Source organism: Homo sapiens, chromosome 5 (assembly GCF_000001405.40).
Source record: "Homo sapiens chromosome 5, GRCh38.p14 Primary Assembly".
NCBI classification, from domain to species: domain Eukaryota; kingdom Metazoa; phylum Chordata; class Mammalia; order Primates; family Hominidae; genus Homo; species Homo sapiens.
The window spans coordinates 117,902,453-117,930,229 of record NC_000005.10 but is presented as its reverse complement, the minus strand read 5'-3'; the positions used below and the strand labels follow the sequence as shown (position 1 = coordinate 117,930,229).

The 27,777-nt window shown below is 36.5% G+C and overlaps 1 long non-coding RNA gene across 1 annotated transcript in view; it reads right to left on the bottom strand.

Annotated features, from left to right (window-relative positions):
* Positions 1 to 27,777, bottom strand: part of LINC02147 (long intergenic non-protein coding RNA 2147) — a 535,702-nt gene that overhangs the window by 335,833 nt on the left and 172,092 nt on the right. Inside the window, exon 2 of the long non-coding RNA NR_104997.1 lies at positions 5,099 to 5,220. This is a non-coding gene — a long non-coding RNA (long intergenic non-protein coding RNA 2147). The remainder of the gene's footprint in view (positions 1 to 5,098; positions 5,221 to 27,777) is intronic.

The following is a 27,777-nucleotide window of genomic DNA, read 5'->3' as shown; positions in this document are numbered from 1 at the left end:
ATTTGTATGCATGTAGAGAGATTGATGGGATAGTGAAATTAGAAGACCTCTTTGGATGACACTTCTCCCCCAATGAGAAGTTCTGCATGGTCTTTATTTACTAGCATGAGTGAGTATGATTATATTGTGCATATAACTCTGACGAATGTCATTCAATACTATTTCATCATACTACAGCTAAGTATATATTCATGTTATCATAAAACTCTTAAAATTTCTAATTCATTATGCCAAATGCTACTTTTTACATAAATTAATTCTCAAGATGGCATTAAATATATAATTAACATTTGATATATGAAGAATACTTGATGTCTGAACTTCAAAATAGCCTAATGCACAATTCTTTGAGTAAAATACCTTTTGTGCTATCTTCTTAAAATAGCATAGCAGAGAGTAGTAAGTGTACTTAAGTTTCTAGTGAACATTCCCAAATATACTCCAAAACTTTCATTTTATATGGCCCTTTGATATGCTAACTAATATATGGCATATGGCAGTATTTTTATATCTTGCTCAGCATTGATATGCTAAGGTTATTTTTACTGAAATTCTTTAATAAATTCCTGGGATATATATTGTAACCAAATGTATGCTCCCTAATGAAAAATGATGTAATTTCTCCCTTTGGTTATTTGACAAGCAATACAATAGGGTGTATGCAGTGCCTCTCCAATAGGCCCTTTGCAAGCTCCCCTTGGTTACTTAGAGTGCCCCATAGGTGCCTGAAGTGGGAGTGGGGAGGCACTGGCCCCTGCCACACTTCTGCTCATCTTGATCTTTCTGCCAATTTTAGCTTTCTGCGTCAAGTTCAATGCCTTTGCTTAACAGTCAAAGTAAAATTGCTTCCAAGTCTTCAACTGAAGCGCATCCTTACCCAGGAAGTCAGAAGGACATATTGATGTTTTGAGTGTGCACTGGGGCTAGAGAAGAGTTAACAGCTAATTCTGACATACAAGTATGAATTACTCTTGTCTGGAAGTCACTTTTCTAGTAGTTTTATTTTTTCATTACTGATATTTTTCAAAATCTTAAATCTTGCCCAGAATTCTATTAGCATTTAGAAAAAAACTAAACCTAGGTGATTGTGGGTTTTTCTTCCCCTTTCTGTCACTGCAACAAACACAGGAACAAATATCCATAGATTGATGAACATTCAGCTACATGTGACCAGTGAATTACAGGTTGTGCTGAAGACTTTGTTTTTAATATGTATGTGACCTTGTGTGTATTCTCTAGACGTGTACATGTGTTATCAGCATTTTTAGATATAGAAGTTATCAGCAAGAAAATTGAAGTCATCCATAGGAAGTTATCTACATGAAGCAGGCATATAGGAAAATTGACTTCTTGGATTTTCCTGAAGATCACTTGTTTCCTGACTGTGAACTAGAAGATTTTGGAGGAAGCAAATCTTTGGGTATAGTTGATTTCCAAGAGATGAGTCACTTTATTTTACTAAAGCAACACTGCCCAGCATTGCCACTGACTTTCCGAATTCAGAAAATACATTTTGTGTTCTCATAACAGCAAGATCATGGATCATTTTTTAACCCTGGGTCTTTTAGGCTTCAGTCAGCAATGTGTTTATAACAAAATTGCTGGTATATAAGAAAAAAGTTTATTATACTGGAGGCTTTCGGGTCCAGTCTGATCAGATAACAAAAGGGAATAGATCACATTGTAGTGTTGTGGAACTATTTTGAAATTCAGGTAATTTGACAGGGGAAAAATATGTTTGCTCTCAGTCATTTTTATTTCTTTCCACAGTACATCATGGCATGAAATTTCTGCCACAAATAACACAAATGGATTCTAACAGAAACATTCTAACAAGCCTAAGTGAGTTGGATCTAGAGTAGACTATATAATTTGGTTAGCTATGTTAGTAGAAAACAAGCACTACTTTCATAAGTTGGATTGTGAATTTTCCAGGCTGAGTGAAAGTTTGCTGTGTGTTCACATATGTTGTACCGTGGGGAAATAGATCAAGAGTTCATTTTAGTGACATTAGCCAAAAGGTCAGATGCCATACTGCCTTCCAGAGTGAATATACATACAACCTTTTCATGTATCTTTACATATTTAGAAAAGGATAAAAAATGGGAGTCTTTAGAATATTTGACATTCTTGGGAACCAAAGATAAAAAGAATTGAAATAACGTGAAATTTTGTAGAACAAAAATAGGTCAAGGCTACCTAGTTAACTCTCCAAATTCCTGCAAAGAAATGTGTTTCCTTTGTAGCATCTTTACACTTAATTATTTAGTTACTATCTTGTTTTATATCATCTTCTATGTTGGATTGGAAATTTGTAAGAGTGAAAAATATTTCAGCTGCTGCTATACCCCTGGCACCCAGTATGGTGTCTGGCCTGTGAGGCTCTGGATAAATATGTCTCCACTCTGCCTGTGAGGCTCTGGATAAATATGTCTCCACTCTACCCTTGGGCCCACACTGAGACAGTTTCTTCTTCTCTCTTACCCCCGAATATTTCTGTTCCCTTCATGACTGATGGCCTGCTGGAAGTTTTGGAACCACATTTACCAGGCACTGCTCCTTGGGAGCTACTGTTAAGCCAAACTTATGCAGTTTTTCCACCTATTTTTTTTTAAATCACTGTGGTACAAAATTCAGGCAAATTCTCTAAACCTCTGCCACCCTAAGAATTTGTTATTTCCTTTCAAATTAGAAATTTTGTGATACCTTTCTCTGATGTTGAGAACGTAAGAGTGAGGTCATAAATTTTCCAGTTGATGCTGTGCTTCTCCTGCACTGTAATACATGTTTCCTTTTTTTTCCTGGGATAATGTTTAGCTATAAGCATCCCAATTTAATTCACCCATATCTAACCACATTTTCATATATGTATGATGTCAGCAATATTTCCTGAAAGTTCTAGGACCTGCTTTCATTGCATAAAAAAGGGAAAAGACATTTATTATTATCCAAGCAATATCATTTTATATATATATATATATATATATATATATATATATATATATATATATATTACACACACATCTATCTGTCTATCTACCTGTCTCCTCAAAAGAGCTGGAAATGGATGTTACTAAGAGCTATGAAGTCCACGAAGCATCAAGTAAGAAGATTAGCTCTAAGACTTAATTCATCTTTTAAAGTCCTAGGCTGATTATGTTCAGTTTTCCTAAATATATAAAATGATGCTTCTAATGTTGCAAACTTTAGAAATTTGCTGATGCCTGAGACAGGGTAAAAGAATGTCTGCTTTCTGGTAACGGCATTCTAAGCTATTCATACCACCTCTCCTTTACCAAAAGTAATTTAAACTACCGGATGAAACATTTCTTACATTTTTTTAAAAGCAAGGTGACATAAAAAGATAATAAGAAATCATTAGGATAAAACTAACAGGAAATGTAAACTACCAGGTGTAACCAAGTATTAATGCTGTTTTTACCTAGATGGCATTTGCCTATACTAATAAATTCGAACTTGTGTGTTAAAATCTTTGCTGTCAGGAAGAACCAAAATTAAACCTGATACCCATGAAAGTAAAGCCTAATAATGGAAATTTAGCACAGTAATCTGAGACCCAAAAAGGCTAAAATATCATAGTGTGATACTAGAAATTAATAGTCAACAGGTAGTTTTAAGACTTAAACTTGGAATTAGGTGCTTTTGAATTAGTAATACCCTAATCTACATAACAGATGCAAACGGCAATTCTCTCTAGAGAAAGGTACTTCATCTATTTAGTGAATATATTTTCACATATGATAACCTGACACAAAGACAACTAAACATGGCAGCATGGCAAATATGACAAAAGAAACATATCCCTAAAGATTTCAAATATTTTCGTTTTTCAGATAAAACCTATAAAAATATTATGCTTGCTGTATTTAAGGAAACAAAACAAACTTAACATATTAAGGAAATTATAAAATAGAAATCTAGTAATAAAAATGCAACTTTAAGGAGTGAGAAATATAATTATTAAAATTAAAAGCTCACTGGATAAATTTAGCAGTCATACAGACAAAGAGATATAGTCACAGACATATATAGACAGAATTTGTGAGCTGCAAGCATAGAGAAACATAAAAAGGAAAATATAGGCACATATAAAAAGCATAAAGAATATATTGAAAAGTATGGATATAAACTAAAACAGAGTTCCAGAAAGAAAAGAGAGGGAAAATAGGAATGGGGCATTGTTTGAATAATAGCTGACTATTCCATGAATAATAAAATATCCCTATCCACATACACAAAATACCAATGAATCTCAAGCTGAATAAATAAAAACAATATTATCTACACCTGGACCCATCATAATTAAACTGTAGAATGCCAAAGACAAACACCACATTTTGAAACAATCATAGAAATATGACAGATAACTTTTACAGGAGCATAAATGGAAGCAAAGAAAACCTCCCAAAATAAAAAGAGAAAAAACAACAGTAGAATAATATACTCAATATATTGAAAGAAAGTAACTAATTCTACTCAGTAACATCATCTTTTAAGGATGCCAGTAAAATGTATTTTTTCAGACAAACAGAAACTGAAAGTGTTTGCTACTCATAAACCCATACTGGAAATTATTTACGACGTACTTGAAGCAAAAGAAAATATAAACCCAGATGGAGAATATGATATACAAGAGGAATGAATAAAATGAAGTGATAAAAAGGTGGAAAAAACTAAATATCATTATATGAAACATTAAAAATAACAACTTGTGGGGTTTTCGAGTATAAAATTAAAATATATGAGGACAAGTTGGGAGTAGATACATAAGTGGGATCAAACTATTCAAAGGTCATTGTATTTCCCAGAAAGAGGATAAAAGTATTGATAAACTTAATATCTATAGTTTAACCATGTAACTAAATAAAAACTTCTAAACCAGCCAAAAAAGCAATGAAATGATTCAACATAATTAATGCAGTAAACATACTTATCTTTTTCCTCTAAGTATAGCTAAGATCCCTGGACATTATATATAAAATGAACAGAAGACGTTGAAAGGTGGAGAGAAAAGGCAGACCAGGTAGGGACCTTGGGAGCCAAGAAATAACAAAACTCTCTGCACCCACCATCGTACCTTCACACAAAGAGGCCACGTGAGGACACTGCGAGAAGATAGCTGTCTACAAGCCAGGAAGAGAGGCCACAGCCGAAACCAACCCTGATAGCACCTTGATCTTGGACTTCCAGCCTCCAGAACTGTGAGAAAAGAAATTTCGGTTATTTAAGCTACCCACTATTTTTTTATGGCAGCCCTAGCAAACTAATACAGAGATACCCTCACAAACATTACAGATCACATAAAAATCAGTTTATAAAACATTTTTAAAATTACAAATTTTTATGGAGAACAGATTAATGGTTGCCCAGCATAAGGATGATGGGGAAGAAGGGATTGCATATGACTATAAAAGGTAACACAAAGGGTAACACAATACTTTGTAGTGGTGGAATAATTCTATATCTTCACAGTAGTGGTAGTTACATGAATACATGTGTCTGACAAAATGAAATGTTTTTAAAAATTTATAGCTAAAACATCATAATCAATCCAAAAAAAGTAGAGAAAATGAAACATGAAAGAATATAAATATATAAATCCCAGAACAAGATAGTAAATTTGAACTGTAATATTTTATTAAATGCAGTAAATGTAAATGGAGACAATGCTCTATTTAGAAGATGAATATTTGTAAATAAGTTTAAAAACTGAAATATAACTGTATGCTGATTTCAAGAGCCACATGTAAGACAGAATGTTTGAAAGTAAGAGAATAGTAAAAACATACACTAACCAAAATAAACTGGTAAAGCTATATTAACAACAGACAAAATAGATTTCAAGGCAAAAAAAGAAAACATTACTGGAGTTAAAGAGAGTAATTCATAATAAAACATTTGATAAGAATTTTATTTGATAGGAATCAAGTAACTGATGATTTTAAATTGATTGAGGTGCAGATTATTCAACGCCAGAATTATGATCTTTACCAATCAAACAGTGGCTATTTAAAATCTGCTGTTTACCTTTTGTTAGTAAAAATGAAATGGTTATCCAAAACATTTTTTTCTTCAAATTAAGTTTGTTATCCAGAACAAAGGTAGACATTCTGAGTTACATACTTACAAAAGCCAGTCTTAAAATATATTTTATATGTATATATTGTTACATAAAACTAAAAGTATAAAGGTTTATAAGATTTTCCTTCCCTATGACAATGACACATGAACCTTTGGAGTAACATTCTATCCTGGACGTTCTCCCAATTCATGTTTTATTTTCTTTAAAACATTATTAATGAACTGCCCATTATGACTTGTGAGGAGAGATGGTTAGCATTCAATCACTTGGTCTATTATAAATCTAGGTCGCTTGCTCTTAAAAATAAATCAGTTTTCTAAGTGCACTGCATAAAATCTCTTTAGACACTTGGTATGTCAATATATTGCAAGAAGATTTCCTGACTTAAAGATGATAAAAGGGTTGACAGAACTCAAATTGTGTCACATTATAATGGAATAGTATTATAACTCTAGCATGGGGTAAGACCACAGTAAGACCAGAAGCACAAATGTTCCAAGTCAAAAGATATATACTTCATGTTAAGTCTTCTGTGGACACATTTTGGGTGATAGTATGTATAGTGGAGCTAATGTATATATGCCACAAGATTGGCTTTTGTAAGTATGTAACTCAGACTGTCTACTTTTGTTCAACTAAATATGAAGAAAAAATTGGAAAAAAAATTTTTAATGTCCTATTTTTATTTCCTATATGGGATAACCTCATTATTCAAACTTCATTTTTGCTTTCAATACCATAGAAGTAAAAGCACTTTTAAGACTTAGTAGAGAGTTTAGGTCTCAATATCCTTTTTTTTTTTCTTTTTCTTTTTTTTTCCTTTTTTTTTTGTGGAAAGCTGAAGCCATCAACCCATATGCAAAAGAAATGAAATCATGAATAAATCAAAGGATTAAAAAAATAACTCTTTATGTAGAGCCCTAGGTAGACCATGTTGTTGTCTTTTCTTTATCTCTGTTAACAAAACAAAAAATAAAGAGCATATTTTAAATAGTCACTGTTGGATCAGTAAAGATCATAATTCTGGGTTTCTATCATCCACACTTCAATCAATTTTTATAAGCATTAAGTTAGAACTGCAGGAAAAGGTACCCCCTTTTTTCTGGGCCATGAGCCCCGCACACTAACAGGTGTTCTGTCAGCTTCTTTGTAGTATCCAGTTCCCGTTTGTTTTAGCATTGAGTTCCTCACATATGCTAGGTATTAGTCCCTTGTCAAATGACTCGTTCTCAAATATTTTCTCTCATTCAACAGGATGTACCCTCACTCTGTTGATTGTTTCCTTTGCTGTACAGAGTTTTTTAGTATTGAGTTCCTTACATATTCTAGGTATTAGTCCCTTGTCAGAAGAATAGTTTGCAAATGTTTTCTGTCACTCAACAGGATGTATTCTCACTCTATTGATTGTTTCCTTTGCTATAGAGTTGTTTAGTTTAATATAGTCCCATTTGTCTCTTTATATTTTTATTATAAACACCAATGTGAATTATTCCATAGAAATGGGGGATATTTTGGCCGGGCGCGGTGGCTCACGCCTGTAATCCCAGCACTTTGGGAGGCCGAGGCGGGCGGATCACGAGGTCAGGAGATCGAGACCATCCTGGCTAACACGGTGAAACTCCGTCTCTACTAAAAATACAAAAAATTAGCCGGGCGTGGTAGCGGGCGCCTGTAGTCCCAGCTACTCGGGAGGCTGAGGCAGGAGAATGGCGTGAACCCGGGAGGCGGAGCTTGCAGTGAGCCGAGATCGCGCCACTGCACTCCAGCCTGGGCGACAGAGCGAGACTCCGTCTCAAAAAAAAAAAAAAAAAAAAAAAAAAAAAAAAAAAGAAATGGGGGATATTTTATATTCTAGGATACATGTTTTATTATCATCAGTTGCCCACTGATAATGCCTCTAGCTGAAATCTACTTATTTATTTAAGGTGAGCAAAGGACAAGGAGAAAATAGGAAGACATTAGTATTTGCATTAGGGAAGAAGGTAATACATTCCTGTACACACGAAAATATATGTGACCAATAAAATGAAATATTCTCAGACTACTGTATCCCACAGTTTAGTCTCCCTCTTGGCATTCCCACAGAATCTATGGTCTGTTCCACTCCACCCACTTTGATTGTAGTCCTTGAGGGCAGAAAAAAAATATGTTATACATTCTAAATATACTGGACACCTTCAGTAAGCATTTGATTTGTTTAAGGCTGCACTGGGAATACTGAAAACTAATGTGTATTTTATTAATACATAATATTTTACATATTTATGGGGTACATGTGATTTTTGTTACATGCGCAGAATATATAATGATCAAGACAGAGTATTTGAGGTATTCATCACCTTGAATATTTATCATTTCTGTGTGTTGGAAACAATTTGAGTCCTATCTTCCAGCTACTTGGAACTATACAATACATTGTTAACTATAGTCACTCTACTCTGCTGTTGAACCATAGAACTTATACCTATTATCTAATGTGTATGTTGGTACTCATTATCCTACCTCCCCCTCCCACCTACTCATCCTTCCAAGCCCCTAGTATCTGTCATTCTCCTCTATGCCTTTATGAGGTAAATATTTTTTATCTCTGATGAGAACATGCAATATTTTTCTTTCTGTGCCTGGCTTATTTTGCTTAACATAATGACCCCCAGTTTCATCCATGTTGCTGCGTATGACAAGATTTCATTCCTTTATATGGCCAAATCCTATTCCATCGTGTATGTGTGCCACATTTTCTTCATTCATTCATCCTTTGGTGGATACTTAGGTTGATTACATATCTTGACTCTCGTGAATGGTGCTGTAATAAACATTCAAGTATAGGTATTCCTTTGGTATGCAAACTTCTTTTCCTTTGGATACATATCTAGCAGTGGAATTGCTGGATCATACGGTGGTTCTATTTTTAGCTTTTTGGAAAATCTCTATAGTTTTTCATAGTGGCTGGTCTAATTCACATTCTTACTAACGACATATGAGTTTCCTTTTCCCCACATCCTCACCAACATCTGTTATTTTTGGACTTTTTAAGAATAGCTATTCTAACTGGGGAAAGATGATATCTCATTGTGGTTTTGATTTGCATTTCCCTGATGATTAGCGATGTTAAGCATTTTTCCATATACCTCTTGGCCGTCTGTATGTCTTCTTTTGAGAAATGTCCGTTCATGTCCTTGGCCCACTTTTTAATGGAATTATTTGATTTAGTATTGAGTTCCTTACATAATCTAGGTATTAGTCCCTCATCAGAAGAATAGTTTGCAAATGTTTTCTCTCATTCAACAGGATGTATCCTCAGTCTGTTGATTGTTTCCTTTGCTATACAGAGCTTTTTAGTTTAATATAGTCCCATTTGTCTCTTTAAATTTTTATTATTCATGTTTTCCAGGTATTAGCCATAAAATCTTTGCCTAGACCAATGTCTGCAGGTATTTTTCCTATGCTCTCTTTCAGTAGTTTTATAATTTCAGGTGTTATATGTACATCTTCAATCTGAAAATACTTCCTAAAGTATTTTATCAGATACATCAGATATATGTCTTTTATTCCTTTTTTCAAATATCCTTTCAAATTTTTTCACATAGGTAAAATTCACACAAACCAATAATTAGATTGGATTCAGTGAAATAAATTACTTGAATTTTAATTCAAATCAAAATATACTTACTGGACTCATATAGTCCCTGGTTTTAAAGAATTTCAATAAATTGTACATTTAAAATGTGTTTATATTAAAATAAATTCAATAGAAGGAGTTTTATTGTTTGGACAAGAGAGGTGTGAATTATGCCAGTTACCCATCAAAGGCTGTCCAAGAGGCAAAGAATGGTAATATCTAGACTAACAAAAAATATCTTCTAAATTAAATATATGCCTATGACTAAGTGGTACACTATGTTAAATGGTTAACCATGACCCTAACTTTTACCTGTGAAAAAGTAAATAGAAAGTTATTTAAAATCCAGGCCGCTAATTCATAAGATCAATTTTTCTATTCCCATTTCCAAAATTAATCATACTTTGGCCTAGCCCTTCCTGCTAAGCTTTGTTGAACTTTGATTGGTTCCCTTACGTTAAAGCCCCCATAAAAAGCTTGCCCTTCTTCCCAAGTTAGAATGCTTTAACATAAACATCTCATGCTTGGCATTTTTCATAGTATAATTCCAGGGTACTACTAATAATGTTCTAGTTGAATATCTTTCACATGTCACACCACAAAACCAAGTCACGGAACCAAATACAAAACCAGGGACATGGAAATATACTCAGAGTTTTGATGGGATGAAATGCAAAGATACATGGCAATGGCCATGGCTGCAAGGAACGTTGAAATGTCAGGGATGTAGTGGTTGGTCTATCTAAACCATTAGGTTTGGTTTAGCAGCAAATTTTAAAGACTTAACAATGGTTAGAGATATGTTCAGTTTTGCTTCTGCTGAACTCTTTCTCATTGTAACTTCTTCCCGGTATTTCCTGGAGAAGCACCATTTTTCTTGTCTTACAGTACAGGGGGGTTAGAGGGAGTGCAGAAAGGAGGAGGAAGAGAGAAAAAATGTATGGCCAGTTTCTTTTAAATTATCTTGTAATTATGTTCTTATCTTGCTTGTAATATCAAATCTCAACACACAAACAAGATGCACTATGTAAATGAAAAACATCACTGCCTTACCCAATTTTGGGTATGGCAGGCATACTAATAAAAATATACAAATAACTGAAATCTGGGCTAATAGAAAAAAATAAGTTTAGAGACTAGAGAAACCGACTTAATAATAAAGACCAAGAAGTGTGTACCATTTAAAATAGATGGTTTTCTTATTCTTGATAGATTAGTCACCACAAGCATTTCATTATCTGGAACAAATGCAGGAAGAGCAGAGTGGGCTCTAGAATATCATAGTAACACAAAAGGGGCTCCAAGGGTCAGACACAAATTTTTTTTAAAATTTTATTATTATTATACTTTAAGATTTAGGGTACATGTGCACAACTTGCAGGTTTGTTACATATGTACACATGTACCATGTTGGCGTGCTGCACCCATTAACTCCTCATTTAGCATTAGGTATATCCCCTAATGCTATCCCTCCCCGCTTCCCCACCCCACAACAGGCCCCGGTGTGTGATGTTCTCCTTCCTGTGTCCTTGTGTTCTCATTGTTCAATTCCCACCTATGAGTGAGAACATGCGGTGTTTGGTTTTTTGTCCTTGCGATAGTTTGCTGAGAATGATGGTTTCCAGCTTCATCCATGTCCCTACAAAGGACATGAACTCATCATTTTTTATGGCTGCACAGTATTCCATGGTGTATATGTGCCATATTTTCTTAATCTAGTCTATCATTGTTGGACATTTGGGTTGGTTCCAAGTCTTTGCTATTGTGAATAGTGCCGCAATAAACATACATGTGCATGTGTCTTTTTAGCAGCATGATTTATAATCCTTTGGGTATATACGCAGTAATGGGATGGCTGGGTCAAATGGTATTTCTAGTTCTAGATCCCTGAGGAATTGCTACACTGACTTCCACAATGGTTGAACTAGTTTACAGTCCCACCAACAGTGTAAAAGTGTTCCTATTTCTCCACATCCTCTCCAGCATCTGTTGTTTCCTGACTTTTTAATGATCACCATTCTAACTCGTGTGAGATGATATCTCATTGTGGTTTTGATTTGCATTTCTCTGATGGCCGCGATGATGAGCATTTTTTCATGTGTTTTTTGGCTGCATAAATGTCTTCTTTTGAGAAGTGTCTGTTCATATCCTTTGCCCACTTTTTGATGGGGTTGTTTGTTTTTTTCTTGTAAACTTGTTTGAGTTCATTGTAGATTCTGCATACTATCCTAAATATATATGCACCCAATACAGGAGCACCCAGATTCATAAAGGAAGTCCTTATTGACCTACAAAGAGACTTAGACTCCCACACAATAATAATGGGAGACTTTAACACCCCACTGTCAACATTAGACAGATCAACGAAACAGAAAGTTAACAAGGATATCCAGGAATTGAACTCAGCTCTACACCAAGCGGACCTAATAGACATCTACAGAACTCTCCACCCCAAATCAACAGAATATACATTCTTTTCAGCACCACACCACACCCATTCCAAAATTGACCACATAGTTGGAAGTAAAGCACTCCTCAGCAAATGTAAAAGAACAGAAATGATAACAAACTGTCTCTCAGACCACAGGGCAATCAAACTAGAACTCAGGATTAAGAAACTCACTCAAAACCACTCAACTACATGGAAACTGAACAACCTGCTCCTGAATGACTACTGGGTACATAACGAAATGAAGGCAGAAATAAAGATGTTCTTTGAAACCAACGAGAACAAAGACACAACACACCAGAATCTCTGGGACACATTCAAAGCAGTGTGTAGAGGGAAATTTATAGCACTAAATGCCCACAAGAGAAAGCAGGAAAGATCTAAAATTGACACGCTAACATCACAATTAAAAGAACTAGAGAAGCAAGAGCAAACACATTCAAAACCTAGCAGAAGACACGAAATAACTAAGATCAGAGCAGAACTGAAGGAAATAGAGACACAAAAAACCCTTCAAAAAATCAATGAATCCAGGAGCTGGTTTTTTGAAAAGATCAACAAAATTGATAGACAGCTAGCAAGAATAATAAAGAAGAAAAGAGAGAAGAATCAAATAGATGAAATAAAAAATGACAAAGGGGATATCACCACCGATCCCACAGAAATACAAACTACCGTCAGAGAATAATATAAACACCTCTACTCAAATAAACTAGAAAATCTAGAAGAAATGGATAAAATCCTCGACACATACACCCTCCCAAGACTAAACCAGGAAGAAGTTGAATCTCTGAATAGACCAATAACAGGCTCTGAAATTGTGGCAATAATCAATAGCTTACCAACGAAAAAGAGTCCAGGACCAGATGGATTCACAGCCGAATTCTACCAGAGGTACAAGGATGAACTGGTACCATTCCTTCTGAAACTATTCCAATCAATAGAAAAAGAGGGAATCCTCCCTAACTCATTTTATGAGGCCAGCATCATCCTGATACCAAAGCCTGGCAGAGACACAACCAAAAAAGAGAATTTTAGACCAATATCCTTGATGAACATTGATGCAAAAATCCTCAATAAAATACTGGCAAACCGAATCCAGCAGCACATCAAAAAGCTTATCCACCATGATCAAGTGGGCTTCATCCCTGCGATGCAAGGCTGGTTCAACATATGAAAATCAATAAAGGTAATCCAGCATATAAACAGAACCAAAGACAAAAACCACATGATTATCTCAATAGATGCAGAAAAGGCCTTTGACAAAATTCAACAACCCTTCATGCTAAAAACTCTCAATAAATTAGGTATTGATGGGACATATCTCAAAAATAATAAGAGCTATTTATGACAAACCCACAGCCAATATCATACTGAATGGACAAAAACTGGAAGCATTCCCTTTGAAAACTGGCACAAGACAGGGATGCCCTCTCTCACCACTCCTATTCAACATAGTGTTGGAAGTTCTGGCCAGGGCAATCATGCAGGAGAAGGAAATAAAGGGCATTCAATTAGGAAAAGAGGAAGTCAAATTGTCCCTGTTTGCAGATGACCTGATTGTATATCTAGAAAACCCCATTGTCTCAGCCCAAAATCTCCTTAAGCTGATAAAGCAACTTCAGCAACATCTCAGGATACAAAATCAATGTGCAAAAATCACAAGCATTCTTATACACCAATAACAGACAAACAGAGGGCCAAATCGTGAGTGAACTCCCATTCACAATTGCTTCAAAGAGAATAAAATACCTAGGAATCCAACTTACAAGGGATGTGAAGGACCTCTTCAAGGAGAACTACAAACCACTGCTCAATGAAATAAAAGATGATACAAACAAATGGAAGAACATTCCATGCTCATGGGTAGGAAGAATCAATATTGTGAAAATGGCCATATTGCCCAAGGTAATTTATAGATTCAATGCCATCCCCATCAAACACAAAAAGTTTGAGCTTTTTTTTTTTACTCACAGTACTTAGAATTATTTTTCTTTGAGGCCAGAGCATCTTGTCTTATTACCATCTTTACGGTCAACCTCAGGCTCTCAGATATATTTCCACAGGCTCTTTAACTATTTGAAATAGGTATCTATGTGGATCTTTTGCCTAATTGTTTTTCAGTTTGTTTCTTCAACCTTGAAATTATTTCTACTTAAAAATGTAATGCACAAGAAAGAGAAAAATCGTTAGCAAATAACACTAAGAGGGATCTAAATAAAACTTTCTACTTTCTTCTACTAAATTTCCATTTTAACATATTTCAGTGCATTAAGTCATTATAAATTCTTAAATATATTATACTTTCAATATAAAAAATAATTAGACTGGCCTCTATTTATACTTAAATAATGGACTAAATATTCCAAAAAATCTCCTATTACCAAACATCAAGAAATATTCGGATAAAATATCAAATATTCCTTTGAATGCAGAGAAGAGCTCCTCAAGAGCTTGGATATATTTCTGGGGACCTGGAACTGAGAGAAAAAGTGAAGGTAAATTAGAGCTGTCCTATAGCATGTTGCCAGTCTTCACCATTGTGAATCCTGCTGCCTTAAAGAGCTACCTTCAGTGAAGGTGTCCTGGAAAAAAAAGATCTCAACTGCCAGTTTAAAAGAAAAACAGGTAGAGCGGGCACGGTGGCTCACGCCTTTAATCCCAGCATTTTGGGAGGCCAAGGTGGGCGGATCACTTGAGGTCAGGAGTTCGAGACCAGCCTGGCCAACATGGTGAAACCCTGTCTGTACTAAAATTATCAAAATTAGCTGGGTGTGGGGGTGCACACCTGTAATCCCAGCTACATGGGAGGATGAGGCAGGAGAATCTCTTCAACCAAGGAGGTAGAGTTTGCAGTAGGCTGAGATCACGCCACTGCACTCCAGCCTGGGTGACAGAGCGAGACCCTGTCTCAAAAAATAAATGAGCAAATAAATAAATAAATAAGTAAATACATACATACATACATACAAAAAGACATTTAACTGTCTGACCTCAAATCTGGATGGGTTATATGTCTTCTCCAGAAAAAATAATAGAAGTTGATCTTCTCACCATTAGGGATTCAAATGTACAGTATTGGAAAGATCCAGGAAGTCCAAAGTAAAGAGCTTAAGAGGGGTCACAGTTTAGTTATAGTTTAGAGTTCCTGTCAAAAAAAAAAAAAGCAAAAATAAATAAATAAATAAATAAAAATAAATAACAAAACAGCTTGGGCCTCATAGGATTTCCCCAATTCTAAAAATACAATTTGATTTTTAAAAACACATCATAAAACTAGCCACCATCAATGAGAATCTATAGGAGAAAAAAATGCTGAAAATAATTTTAGATAATTGAGTTACTAAATATCAAACATTAAATATGTGCTTAATATGTTATATCAGTCTATTCTCATACTGCTTTAAGGAAATACCTGAGACTGGGTAATTTATAAAGAAAAGAGATTTAATTGGCTCATGGTTCTGCAGGCTGCACAGGCAGCATAGTGGCATCAGCTTCTGGGGAGGCCTCAAGAAACTCACTTCACCGAAGGTGAAGGGGAAGCAGTTATGTCCTACATGGCTGAAACAGGAGAAAGAGAGAGAGAGGAAGATGGTACACACTTTTAAACCACCAGATTTCACAAGAACTCACTCACTCACATATCATGAGAACAGAACCTAGGGGATGGTGCTTAACCATTCATGAGAACTCTTCCCCCATGATCCAGTCACCTCCCACCAGGTCTTACCTCCAGCACTGGGGATTATGACCTTCAACAAGATATTTCAGCGGGGGTACAGCTCCAAATCATATCAATTTCTTAAAAAATTTAAGTTAAAACCCAAAACAAAAGAAAGTGTTTAACCTCATTAAAGTCATCGGAAAAGAGCCTAGAAAGACAAAGAGATGGAGAACAAGAGAAGCTAAAAAATAAGAGCAAAGAATCAGACTGAAAATACAACTGTTTCCAGAAGAGAACACAGAGAGAAGCAATGTCCAAAAAGAACTTCTGAGAACTTCTCAAATTCTCAAATTCAGAGATTCTGACATATTGTGAGATAAATAATAAGAAATACACACTTAGACACATATAAGTGGAACTGTAGAGCTTAGAGTCAAAAGAAAGATATTAGAAGCAACAGGAGAATAAAGACAGATCAAGAAAATACTAAGCAAAATATAGCCAAGGTGGCTATATGAATATCAGATCAAACAAACTTTATGAAAACAAACTTTATTAATAATAATTGGACTAACTACATTTTGACAAGAAGGTAAAACTAAGGAATAATATTTCTAAATTTCCAGGCACTTAATAATATAGCCTCAAAATGCATGAAGCAAAAAACTTGACAATATTTTAAGAAAATATTAATAAGCTTCATAATCAGAAATGTAATCTACTTTTTTCAGTAATTAATAGAATAAAAGATTAAAATTGACAAGATATAGAATATTTTAGCAGCACTACCAATAAACTTGAGTCAGTGGCATATAAAGAGGACACAGGAAAGCAAAGATGCGTCCCCTTTCTTTTGGCTAGTATTTACCTAGCACATCTTTTTCTGTCCTTTTGACTTTGCTGTGACTTTATATTTTAGGTATATCTTTACTAAATAGCACAAATCCATTATTTTTAAAAAGTACAGGCTTACAATCTCTTTTAATTGGCAAGTTTATATTTATTGTACATAATGGTTCTCCTAGACTTTTTAATTTTTTACTGTTTTCCTTGCTCCCATTTAGTCTGTTTTATTTTGTTTCTTTCTTTTATTCCTCCATTTTCTCCCTTTTTATTTTGCAGGATAGTGGTTGCAGAGCATCCTTTCTCTTTTGTGATCATCTTTCATTTATTTTCTCACACCGTTTGTAAAGTTACCACTGTATTTTTGTTCTTTCAGTTTAAACCCTGGACATTTTACCATGCTTACTAGTACACTATAATCAATACCCTAACCTTTTCCAGAACAATATAAATGATAACACTCTCATTCCATAACTCCTCTGACTTACTTTGGTATACAGTATTCATTCTCTCTCTCCCTCCCCACCCACCTCCCACTTAGTTCAATGATCTGTTGGGCTTTTCTTCTGAATTCTGAATGAAAGCTTTTCACAAATGGTTGATGAGCCTGGCTGCCAGTTCATATGTAAGAGTGATGCATGAGAAGCTATGTGTATGTGACCACGTTTTGCCACAAATGGACCTCCTCGCAGTATGAAAATTAAACAGTTAATACTTCACACATTATAGCATCTGCAGGTCTTTTCTGGGAGACCTTTGAGCTCTCAAAGGAAAACTATAACATAGGAGTTAAGAAGAAATTACTTAGGCAGATAGTGAAGGTACTGAAGTCCTCAGTAAGGTTTTCCTTTTTAATGAAAAGCAGCTCTCAAATCATTTTCTAACAAAGAGAAGCCTGTAAAATTAAGCTGCAGACATAGACAAGCAAGCTGGAAGCAGGCCAGCAGATAAATACTATCTAGGCATATTCAAAATGGTGGCTCCATCTTCTCTTCTTTTTTGTCAGCCACATGTACAGTAAGGAACAGACAAGATGTCACAGGTCAAGTGCAAAGCCCGTATGCATAATAAGATTAGGATGGGTGGCCAGCCTTTCCTGTGCACTATGTAAATGTCATACCTGATTGAACCAATCTGTGGTCCCTAAATAAAGCAGACACCGCCTCCTCAAGCCTGCCTATATAATCCAGTGGACTCTGCTATTAGCTGATCTTTCACTTTGGTAGCTCCTCTCTCATTAGAAAGAGAGAGAGAGCTGTTCTTCTTTCTCTTTCTTCTGACAATTAAACTTCTGCTCCTAAACTACTCATGTGTGTCCGTGTCCTAAATTTTCTTGACATGAGACGACAAACCCTGGGTATTTACCCCACACAACAAAGCTGCATCAACTATCTCAAGTGAAGTGAAGAAATAAGTAAGACTTTACTCAAGACTATTGTAATAGAAGGAAGAGATGGAACTAAACTCCTCTTGCTAGTGGCGAATCTATATGGGTATGGAGCAACCTCAATTCTTGCCTCATCAGAAAAAATAATTCAACCAAGAGACATAAGGCGAGGGACTGAGGCAAGTTTTGGATCAGCAGTGAAAGTTTATTAAAAAGTTTTAGAGCAGGACTGAAAGAAAGTAAAGTAATTGGGAAAAGGGCCAAGTAGGCAACTTGAGAGTTCAAATGCACAGTTTCACCTTTGATTTGGGGTTTTATACATTGGCATACTTCCAGGGGGGCTTCATCCCTTCTCCCCTGATTCCTCCCTTGGGGTGGGCTGTCCTCGTGTGCAGCAGCCTGCCGGCATTTGGGAGGGGACACATGCACAGTGTTTACTGAAGTTGTACACATGCTCACTTGAGGCATCTTTCCCTTACCAGTTGTGTGATCCTAGAGGAAGGTCATATACCAGTTAAACTCTACCATTTTGCCTCTTAGTGTGCATGCTTGAGCCCACTTGCTCAACTCCTAAGATCTTATCAGGAAGCTGCTTATCATCAGTTTCAGTTTTTTTCTATCTGTTGGGAGACCGCCTTTCCCTGGCACCAGCTGCAACCAATTATTTTAGAGAGACAATTCTAATAACCAGTCCATCATCACCTGATGGTTGCCTGACAATCCTTCCTGAGTAGTAGGTAGGGCCCCTCTCCTGACCTGCTCATGTCTGCCTGACTACCTACAGTAACACTCTGAAACAAAAGGTGGGAGAGTTCTTAAGCATTGAGGTGAGTTAGCGGAAAAGTACTGGAGGACACCGGGAGAAGGCTGGCCTATGTGACTGGGCCACCTCTTGTTGCTAACTGGCATCCTTGGAAGTTAGGCTCCCACATTCCCAAGGAGACTCGAATATAGGGGAACTATCTTTACCAATGACCATGTTTCAAGGAGATGGCTCCTAGGCCCTTAAGAAAGATATTCCTGGATTGTGGAAGATTTACAGTTCAAAAGGGCAGAGAAAGAATTTACGATTGAAAGTTTTTGAAAGTAAATGTGCGAAGAAATGGGAGATAAGGAGTATTGTTAGGAAGAGGACTGTTTAAAGCTTAGCCAGCTGATAGAAGCATTAAGGCCATCATCTTGGTCATAGCTTTAAAGAAGAATCTTCCAGTTGCCTAATTATCTGCTTTCTGAGCATAGACAGAGGAAGAAATGTGGGGCATCAAGATTTATAAAGAAAGTTTCCCACATTATCTCCGAGTGTCAGTCTTGCCCTTCATCACACCCTCCTCTGTAACTGCTGCTCTACAGTCAGGAAATTTCCGTTTAATTGCTCCAGTGAAGAGACTGGTTTTCCTGCAGAGGCTGGGAGTGAAACTGCCTTTGCAAAAACCGTTATCAGTGAGAAAATTTTGGCAGTGTGGGAGATCTGATCGAGTCAAACCCCTCTTGCCTTTAGCCTTGAAGCTGTCCTTCATTATTCCTAGGCAAAGCTAATTCTGGTAGACATTTAGTTTATATTTTAAATGATAATACCCCTTCCCCAAAACTCAACTGCCTTTGTAATGCTAATGAGAGGCCACCAGACAAGGAGGACAGAGGCCCCTGAATTCTGCTAAGGTGTATATATAAATGATTGCCAGCTTTTATTCTGGAGGTCACAGATATGCAACTTCTCCAGTTACTCCTGCAGATAACATCACTATTGTAGAATCTGAGATTGGACTTTTTGGATACCTTTTCAGGTTTTTTCTCCATGTCCAATACCTGTGGCCCCCCTGGACCCACCAATCCCTTCTGTGGCCCCACCCAGAAGTGACTCAGCTCAAGGGGACAGCTTCAGTTTATAATTTCATCTCCAACCCAACCAGTCAGCAGCAAACACTCATTGCCTTGACACCCTCCCCACTCCCCACAAACTACCTTTAAAATCCCCTAACCTTGACCAGCCATGGCGGCTCACACCTGTAATCCTGGCACTTTGGGAGGGCAAGGCAGGCAGATCATTTGAGGTCAGGAGTTCAAGGCTAGCCTGGCCAACATGGTGAAACCCTGTCTCTACTAAAAATATAAAAATTAGCTGGGTGTGGTGATGCACACCTGTAGTCCCAATTACTCAAGAGGCTGAGGCTGGAGAATCACTTGAACCCCGGTGGTGGAGATCACAGTGAGCTGAGATCGTACCACTGCACTCCAGCCTGAGTGATAGAGTGAGACTCTGTCACAATAATAATTGATTAATAAACCCCTAACCTATAAGCTTTCTATGAGATTAATTTGAGTGATAACTCCATCTCCCATGTGGCATATCTGGCCTCATGTTAATTCAATTCTTTACTTCAATGCCATGAATTGATTTTGTTTGTGCAGCAGGAAGAACACACTTGCTGGGTACAGGAGGAATCGTATTATGTTGGTATGGTGCTGGGAGTTACTCTTCTATCATTTATCCACATTTTTCTATCTCAAGCCTCATCCTGGCTTTCAGTGTTCCCTGAGACTCTCTAGTGCTCTAATGCATAGACTTAATTTTATTATCATCCCTTTCTGGGAGTATTTAGACTTTAGCCTCCTCTGCCAGTCTCATTACTACTCTACTTTCTGTCTTTCAGCTTTCCAAAACTGGTTGGTATTTCTTATCCACTACTGTCTCTTAGTACTTCTTGAATATAATATTTTTTCTGTCTTTAACTTTTCTCATTTATTCATTTTGTTTTAATTGTTCATGTGAGCATGAAGAGAAATGCATACAATCAACTTGCTATGATCAACTGTAAATCTAAGTACTGAAACGTCCAATGTGTCATTTAGGTATGGTAACTTCCAGCCTGTAACATGGCAAGAAGAGGCCAAAGACGGAAAGTTTTGCATTGCACGCAACAACTCTTACTTGCCTGAGAATATCCTAAGTGGATAAGCGGGCAGGGTGAAAACTAGAAGCAGGTTGTTCTTGCTGGTAATAGGGACTGTGAGGGGCCTAAGGACAAACTCTTCACTTTGCCTTTTAGAAAACACTACTCCAAGTAATATTTCTTCATGATGATATATAAACCATAAAAAGAGATAAAACTGGGCCTATAAAATATATTAAATGGGAAAGAACCAAGAGTTTCAATATTTTCTTTTTTTAATTTTATTATTATTATACTTTAAGTTTTAGGGCACATGTGCACAATGTGCAGGTTAGTTACATATGTATACACATGCCATGCTGGTGTGTTGCACCCATTAACTCGTCATTTAGCATTAGGTGTATCTCCTAAAGCTATCCCTCCCCGCTCCCCACAACAGTCCCCAGAGTGTGATGTTCCCCTTCCTGTGTCCATGTGTTCTCATTGTTCAATTCCCACCTATGAGTGAGAACATGCAGTGTTTGGTTTTTTGTTCTTGTGCTAGTTTACTGAGAATGATGATTTCCAATTTCATCCATGTCCCTACAAAGGACATGAACTCATCCTTTTTTATGGCTGCATAGTATTCCATGGTGTATATGTGCCACATTTTCTTAATCCAGTCTATAGTTGTTGGACATTTAGGTTGGTTCCAAGTCTTTGCTATTGTGAATAGTGCCGCAATAAACATATGTGTGCATGTGTCTTTATAGCAGCATGGTTTATAATCCTTTGGGTATATACCCAGTAATGGGATGGCTGGGTCAAATGGTATTTCTAGTTCTAGATCCCTGAGGAATTGCTACACTGACTTCCACAATGGTTGAACTAATTTACAGTCCCACCAACAGTGTAAAAGTGTTCCTATTTCTCCACATCCTCTCCAGCACCTGTTGTTTCCTGACTTTTTAATGATTGCCATTCTAACTGGTGTGAGATGGTATCTCATTGTGGTTTTGATTTGCATTTCTCTGATGGCCAGTGATGGTGAGCATTTTTTCATGTGTTTTTTGGCTGCATAAATGTCTTCTTTTGAGAAGTGTCTGTTCATGTCCTTCGCCCACTTTTTGATGGGGTTGTTTTTTTCTTGTAAATTTGTTTGAGTTCATTGTAGATTCTGGATATTAGCCCTTTGTCAGATGAGTAGGTTGTGAAAATTTTCTCCCATTTTGTAGGTTGCCTGTTCACTCTGATGTAGTTTCTTTTGCTGTGCAGAAGCTCATTAGTTTAATTATATCCCATTTGTCAATTTTGGCTTTTGTTGCCATTGCTTTTGGTGTTTTAGACATCAAGTCCTTGCCCATACCTGTGTCTTGAATGGTAATGCCTAGGTTTTCTTCTAGGGTTTTTATGGTTTTAGGTCTAATGTTTATGTCTTTAATCCATCTTGAATTAATTTTTGTATAAGGTGTAAGGAAGGGATCCAGTTTCAGCTTTCTACATATGGCTAGCCAGTAAAAAGTGATAAAGGGGATATCACCACTGATCCCACAGAAATACAAACTACCGTCAGAGAATACTACAAACACCTCTATGCAAACAAACTAGAAAATCTAGAAGAAATGGATAAATTCCTCGATACATACACCCTCCCAAGACTAAAGCAGGAAGAAGTTGAATCTCTGAATAGACCAATAACAGGCTCTGAAATTGTGGCAATAATCAATAGCTTACCAACGAAAAAGAGTCCAGGGCCAGATGGATTCACAGCTGAATTCTACCAGAGGTACAAGGATGAACTGGTACCATTCCTTCTGAAACTATTCCAATCAATAGAAAAAGAGGGAATCCTCCCTAACTCATTTTATGAGGCCAGCATCATCCTGATACCAAAGCCTGGCAGAGACACAACCAAAAAAGAGAATTTTAGACCAATATCCTTGATGAACATTGATGCAAAAATCCTCAATAAAATACGGGCAAACCGAATCCAGCAGCACATCAAAAAGCTTATCCACCATGATCAAGTGGGCTTCATCCCTGCGATGCAAGGCTGGTTCAATCTATGCAAATCAATAAAGGTAATCCAGCATATAAACAGAACCAAAGACAAAAACCACATGATTATCTCAATAGATGCAGAAAAGGCCTTTGACAAAATTCAACAACGCTTCATGCTAAAAACTCTCAATAAATTAGGTATTGATGGGATGTATCTCAAAATAATAAGAGCTATCTATGACAAACCCACAGCCAATATCATACTGAATGGACAAAAACTGGAAGCATTCCCTTTGAAAACTGGCACAAGACAGGGATGCCTTCTCTCACCACTCCCATTCAACATAGTGTTGGAAGTTCTGGCCAGGGCAGTCACGCAGGAGAAGGAAATAAAGGGTATTCAATTAGGAAAAGAGGAAGTCAAATTGTCCCTGTTTGCAGATGACCTGATTGTATATCTAGAAAACCCCATTGTCTCAGCCCAAAATCTCCTTAAGCTGATAAGCAACTTCAGCAACGTCTCAGGATACAAAATCAATGTGCAAAAATCACAAGCATTCTTATACACCAATAACAGACAAACAGAGAGCCAAATCGTGAGTGAACTCACATTCACAATTGCTTCAAAGAGAATAAAATACCAGGAATCCAACTTACAAGGGATGTGAAGGACCTCTTCAAGGAGAACTACAAACCACTGCTCAAAGAAATAAAAAAGGATACAAACAAATGGAAGAACATTCCATGCTCATGGGTAGGAAGAATCAATATCGTGAAAATGGCCATACTCCCCAAGGTAATTTATAGATTCAATGCCATCCCCATTACGCTACCAATGACTTTCTTCACAGAATTGGAAAAAACTACTTTAAACTTCATATGGAAGCAAAAAAGAGCCCGCATCGCCAAGTCAATCCTAAGCCAACAGAACAAAGCTGGAGGCATCACGCTACCTGACTTCAAACTGTACTACAAGGCTACAGTAACCAAAACAGCATGGTACTGGTACCAAAACAGAGATATAGACCAATGGAACAGAACAGAGCCCTCAGAAATAACGCTGCATATCTACAACTATCTGATCTTTGACAAACCTGAGAAAAACAAGCAATGGGGAAAGGATTCCCTTTTTAATAAATGAATATTTTCAACAAAACACTTGAAGATGTCTCAAATGGCAAATAAAAACCCTAAAATATTAAAAAGAACAAAAACTCTAGGAGAAAAGACAACTGAGATTTAACTTAAGAATCTGATTTCCAAGGGCACCCAAAACAATAGAGATAGAAGCAAAGTATTTAAAAGAAATGTCATGAAGTGATGAAGATAATTATTTTTATAAATCAAATGCATTTACTGAGTTCCAGGCAAAGTTAGCATAAGGTATATTCTAGCACAACTTTTGAATTGCAAATGTAAATTTACAATATTCTAAGGCTTCTAGACAGAGAGGAAATAAATGAATTGTTACCTAAAAATAATTAAAGATTAGGCTGGTTTCAAGATTCAGACCTACAATCTAGGTTCAATTATGTTAAAATGGGAAAACAGGATACAGAAATGATTATATGATTCCAAACAGGTAAGATAAAAATGTAGAAAAATAAGTACATTGAGGGAAATTATGCCAAAGTATTCACAGTTTTCTCTGAGTGGTAGGAATTTTATTAATTTACATTCTAATCGTTTATGTTTTTTTCTTCTACTTTTCAAGTGTTCTGGAACAGTCATGCATTATTTTAATAATTGGCAAAAATACAGGTAAAAAGTAAAAGAAAAAACAAGAGAGAGAGAAAATCATTTCTCACAGTAGGATACTTCCAGGCTAAGATATATCAAATTAAAATCATAAAATTCTGAAGCATTTCCTGAGTTCATTTATTCTTAAGCTCTGCCTATCCCTTAAAGACTTCAGTAAGCCTGTGACATTTCACTCTGGCATTAGGTGAATTTCAAAATCTTATGATAAGCTATCTAGTCCTACAACTTGAAAAAATTCTTTGGAGCATTTTGGAGTCATCGAAGCAAACTTTTTACAGAAAACACTATTTTTCTTGAAAATCCAAACTTGAAATTTCTGAAGATGCAGTAATTTTTCAAGACAAAACACCCTCTTGGGTACAAATCATGCAACTTGCCCTGGATCCAATATGTGCAGTTTCTGCTGGAGTTCAAGTAGTGATAAAGAAACATTTTCAGCACTGGTGGGTTTATCTTTGTTTGAAGGCTAGTGTAAAAAGCATACACTTTATTTCATATATTATACAATGAAATTATAGATATAATGAGAGCTATAATCTTCAAAGGTAGAGGTTGCAGAATTAGAGCTAAATGACCAAATATAGCTCATGCTTATTCTTTGATTGGCTTGAATAATTAAAAATAAATAAATTCGTGGCCAAAATTTGAAACTCAAAAGACTGTACCTTAAAAATTCTAGACTTAGAGGCTTCTGTTGAAAAACCAGAGGATCTGTAAAAGCCAGAAGGTCTGAGCAGTTACCTGCTAGAAGTTAGTTTTCTTATTCTTTAATGTTTTTCGGGCTTCCAAAAAACCAAAAACCACTCATTTAGGTTGAATTAGTAAACTCTGTTCTAAAAAATAATGTTAATTCTAATTGACAGCTATTACTATTATGTTAAAAATGGTTACTTGTGGCCGGGTGCAGTGGCTCACGCCTGTAATCCCAGTACTTTGGGAGGCCGAGGCGGGCAGATCACGAGGTCAGGAGATCGAGACCACCCTGGCTAACATGGTGAAACCTTGTCTCTACTAAAAATACGAAAAATTTATCCGGGCGTGGTGGCAGGCGCCTGTAATCCCAGCTACTCTGGAGGCTGAGGCAGGAGAATGGCGTGAACCCGGCAGGCGGAGCTTGCAGTGAGCCAGAGATTGCGCCACTGCACTCCAGCCTGTGAGACACAGCGAGACTCCATCTCAAAAAAAAAAAAAAAAAAGAAAAGGTTACTTGTGGAAGCTACCTGTTGTGGTATTTCTATGAAGAATTGCTGGCTTTTGAGTTAGACATTCTGAATTCTGTGTCAGGATGACTCTGGGGGCTTCAACACAGTTAAATAAATTTTTCCTAAAAGCAAGAAGGCCTAAAGTGGAGTATCCCCAAAATTCATCAATTCAGCAACTTAATGATGCTCTCATAGGCATAAATAATTAATATCTTCGGCTCTGCCATTCTCAGAGAATTGGTCTTATTCTCAAGCTGGTTCTCCTCCAGGATACAAAATGGCTTCCACAGCAGTTATCACATGCAGAGACTACTATTTATAAACAGAAAAGAAGAGTACTCTTCTTCCTTGAGTTTCCCTGTATAAGAGTAAGGAAAGTTGTCTGAATCCCTCCCTAGCAGATCTTTCTTAGTATCGCATAGACCATATTTCAGCCATATGTCCAGTACTAAAACAAACGAGCAGGAGGGCTGACTGCTTGTGATAGACGTAGATAATTCAAATTACCCATCAGCTGAATATAGGATTGCTTTCCCTTAGCACATAGTAAATAGCACCGGGGACAAGAGGCAAAAAGAGTACATCTGCAGTCTACTCCCAGAAAGAAATGATGTGTAGTGGGGAACTGATTTTAGATAGATAACAGTTTCTGCTACAAACTAAAGACAGGTCTCTAGCTTTGTAATGACCTTTGGCATATACTTAAACTTTCCTAATTTAAAGTTCTTAATTTATATATTAGAAATGGTAATACATTTTTCATAGCATTATCACAAATATTAAATGGTCGAAAATATATCAAAACTTAGGTATTTCAGATATTTTTGCTTTATAAAAAATGCCAGATTATGTTTCTGAAAATAAAGAAAATGGAAAAATAAAGTCCAAAAATTTTGGAAGTTTAAAATAAAATGAAAATTTAAAAATAATTGAATTAAAAAATTATTTGTGCAAAGTTGTCTCTTAGGTGAAAGTTTACCTTATGATTTACCTTACCTAACTCAGTTTTCTCAGTGGATGAAAATGTCATTTAAAATTGGAAAGTTTATTGTCTGTTTATTATATTTCATTCTATTATTGTTTCTTCAGTGATAAGAAAAGGAGAAAAGTAGTCACAGTTAATACCTTACTGGCACAGCTGAAGCTTGGCGCAATTCACTGTATAATCCCTCTGAACGCCCCCCCACCCCCAGTACTGGATAAATGGGAATACTTGACTGTTTGATGTTCTACCAGAGAGGATACTTTGTGGCAAGGTACAATATAAAGCAGGTGCTACAACATGCTCTACTGGGCAGAATGACAAGTGATGGCTTCCCTAGAGTCATAGCAAAAGACGGATTTAGTGAATCATGCTGTATGATGGAGAATCCACACACCAGAGCTGCAGATTAAACTCTGCCTGTTGAAGTGAGAACATTTGCATTTGTGCTCTCAAGAGAGTTTTTGTCAAGTGGCAGGAGTGAGTGAAACTCTGAAGTCTGCCTGTAATACAGTCAACCACCTCATAGTCCCTGTCAAGAGTACTATAAAATCAAATGAAGACCTTGGAAAAGCAACAGACTTAAGAATAAAAATCCCTCTGGCTTCTAGGACATTACTACTTTTCCCTAGAGAAAAAAATGTAGAAACCCTGCATGGTGATTCAAAGATTAACTGGGCATTCCAGAAGGTTTCAAATGTTCTTTGCATTTACATGTTTGCAAAATTATGCTTCTTGGAGATACCTACCAAAGGACATCACTTGCTGACACTTTTGGTCTCCTGTGGCCTCAGTGATGAGAGAATACTCATGTCAGGCCTTGAAAACAGAATAACATCAACACCAATGGCTTTAGCTTCTACTTAGTCAGGTGTGCTTCCGCAGATTCGGGA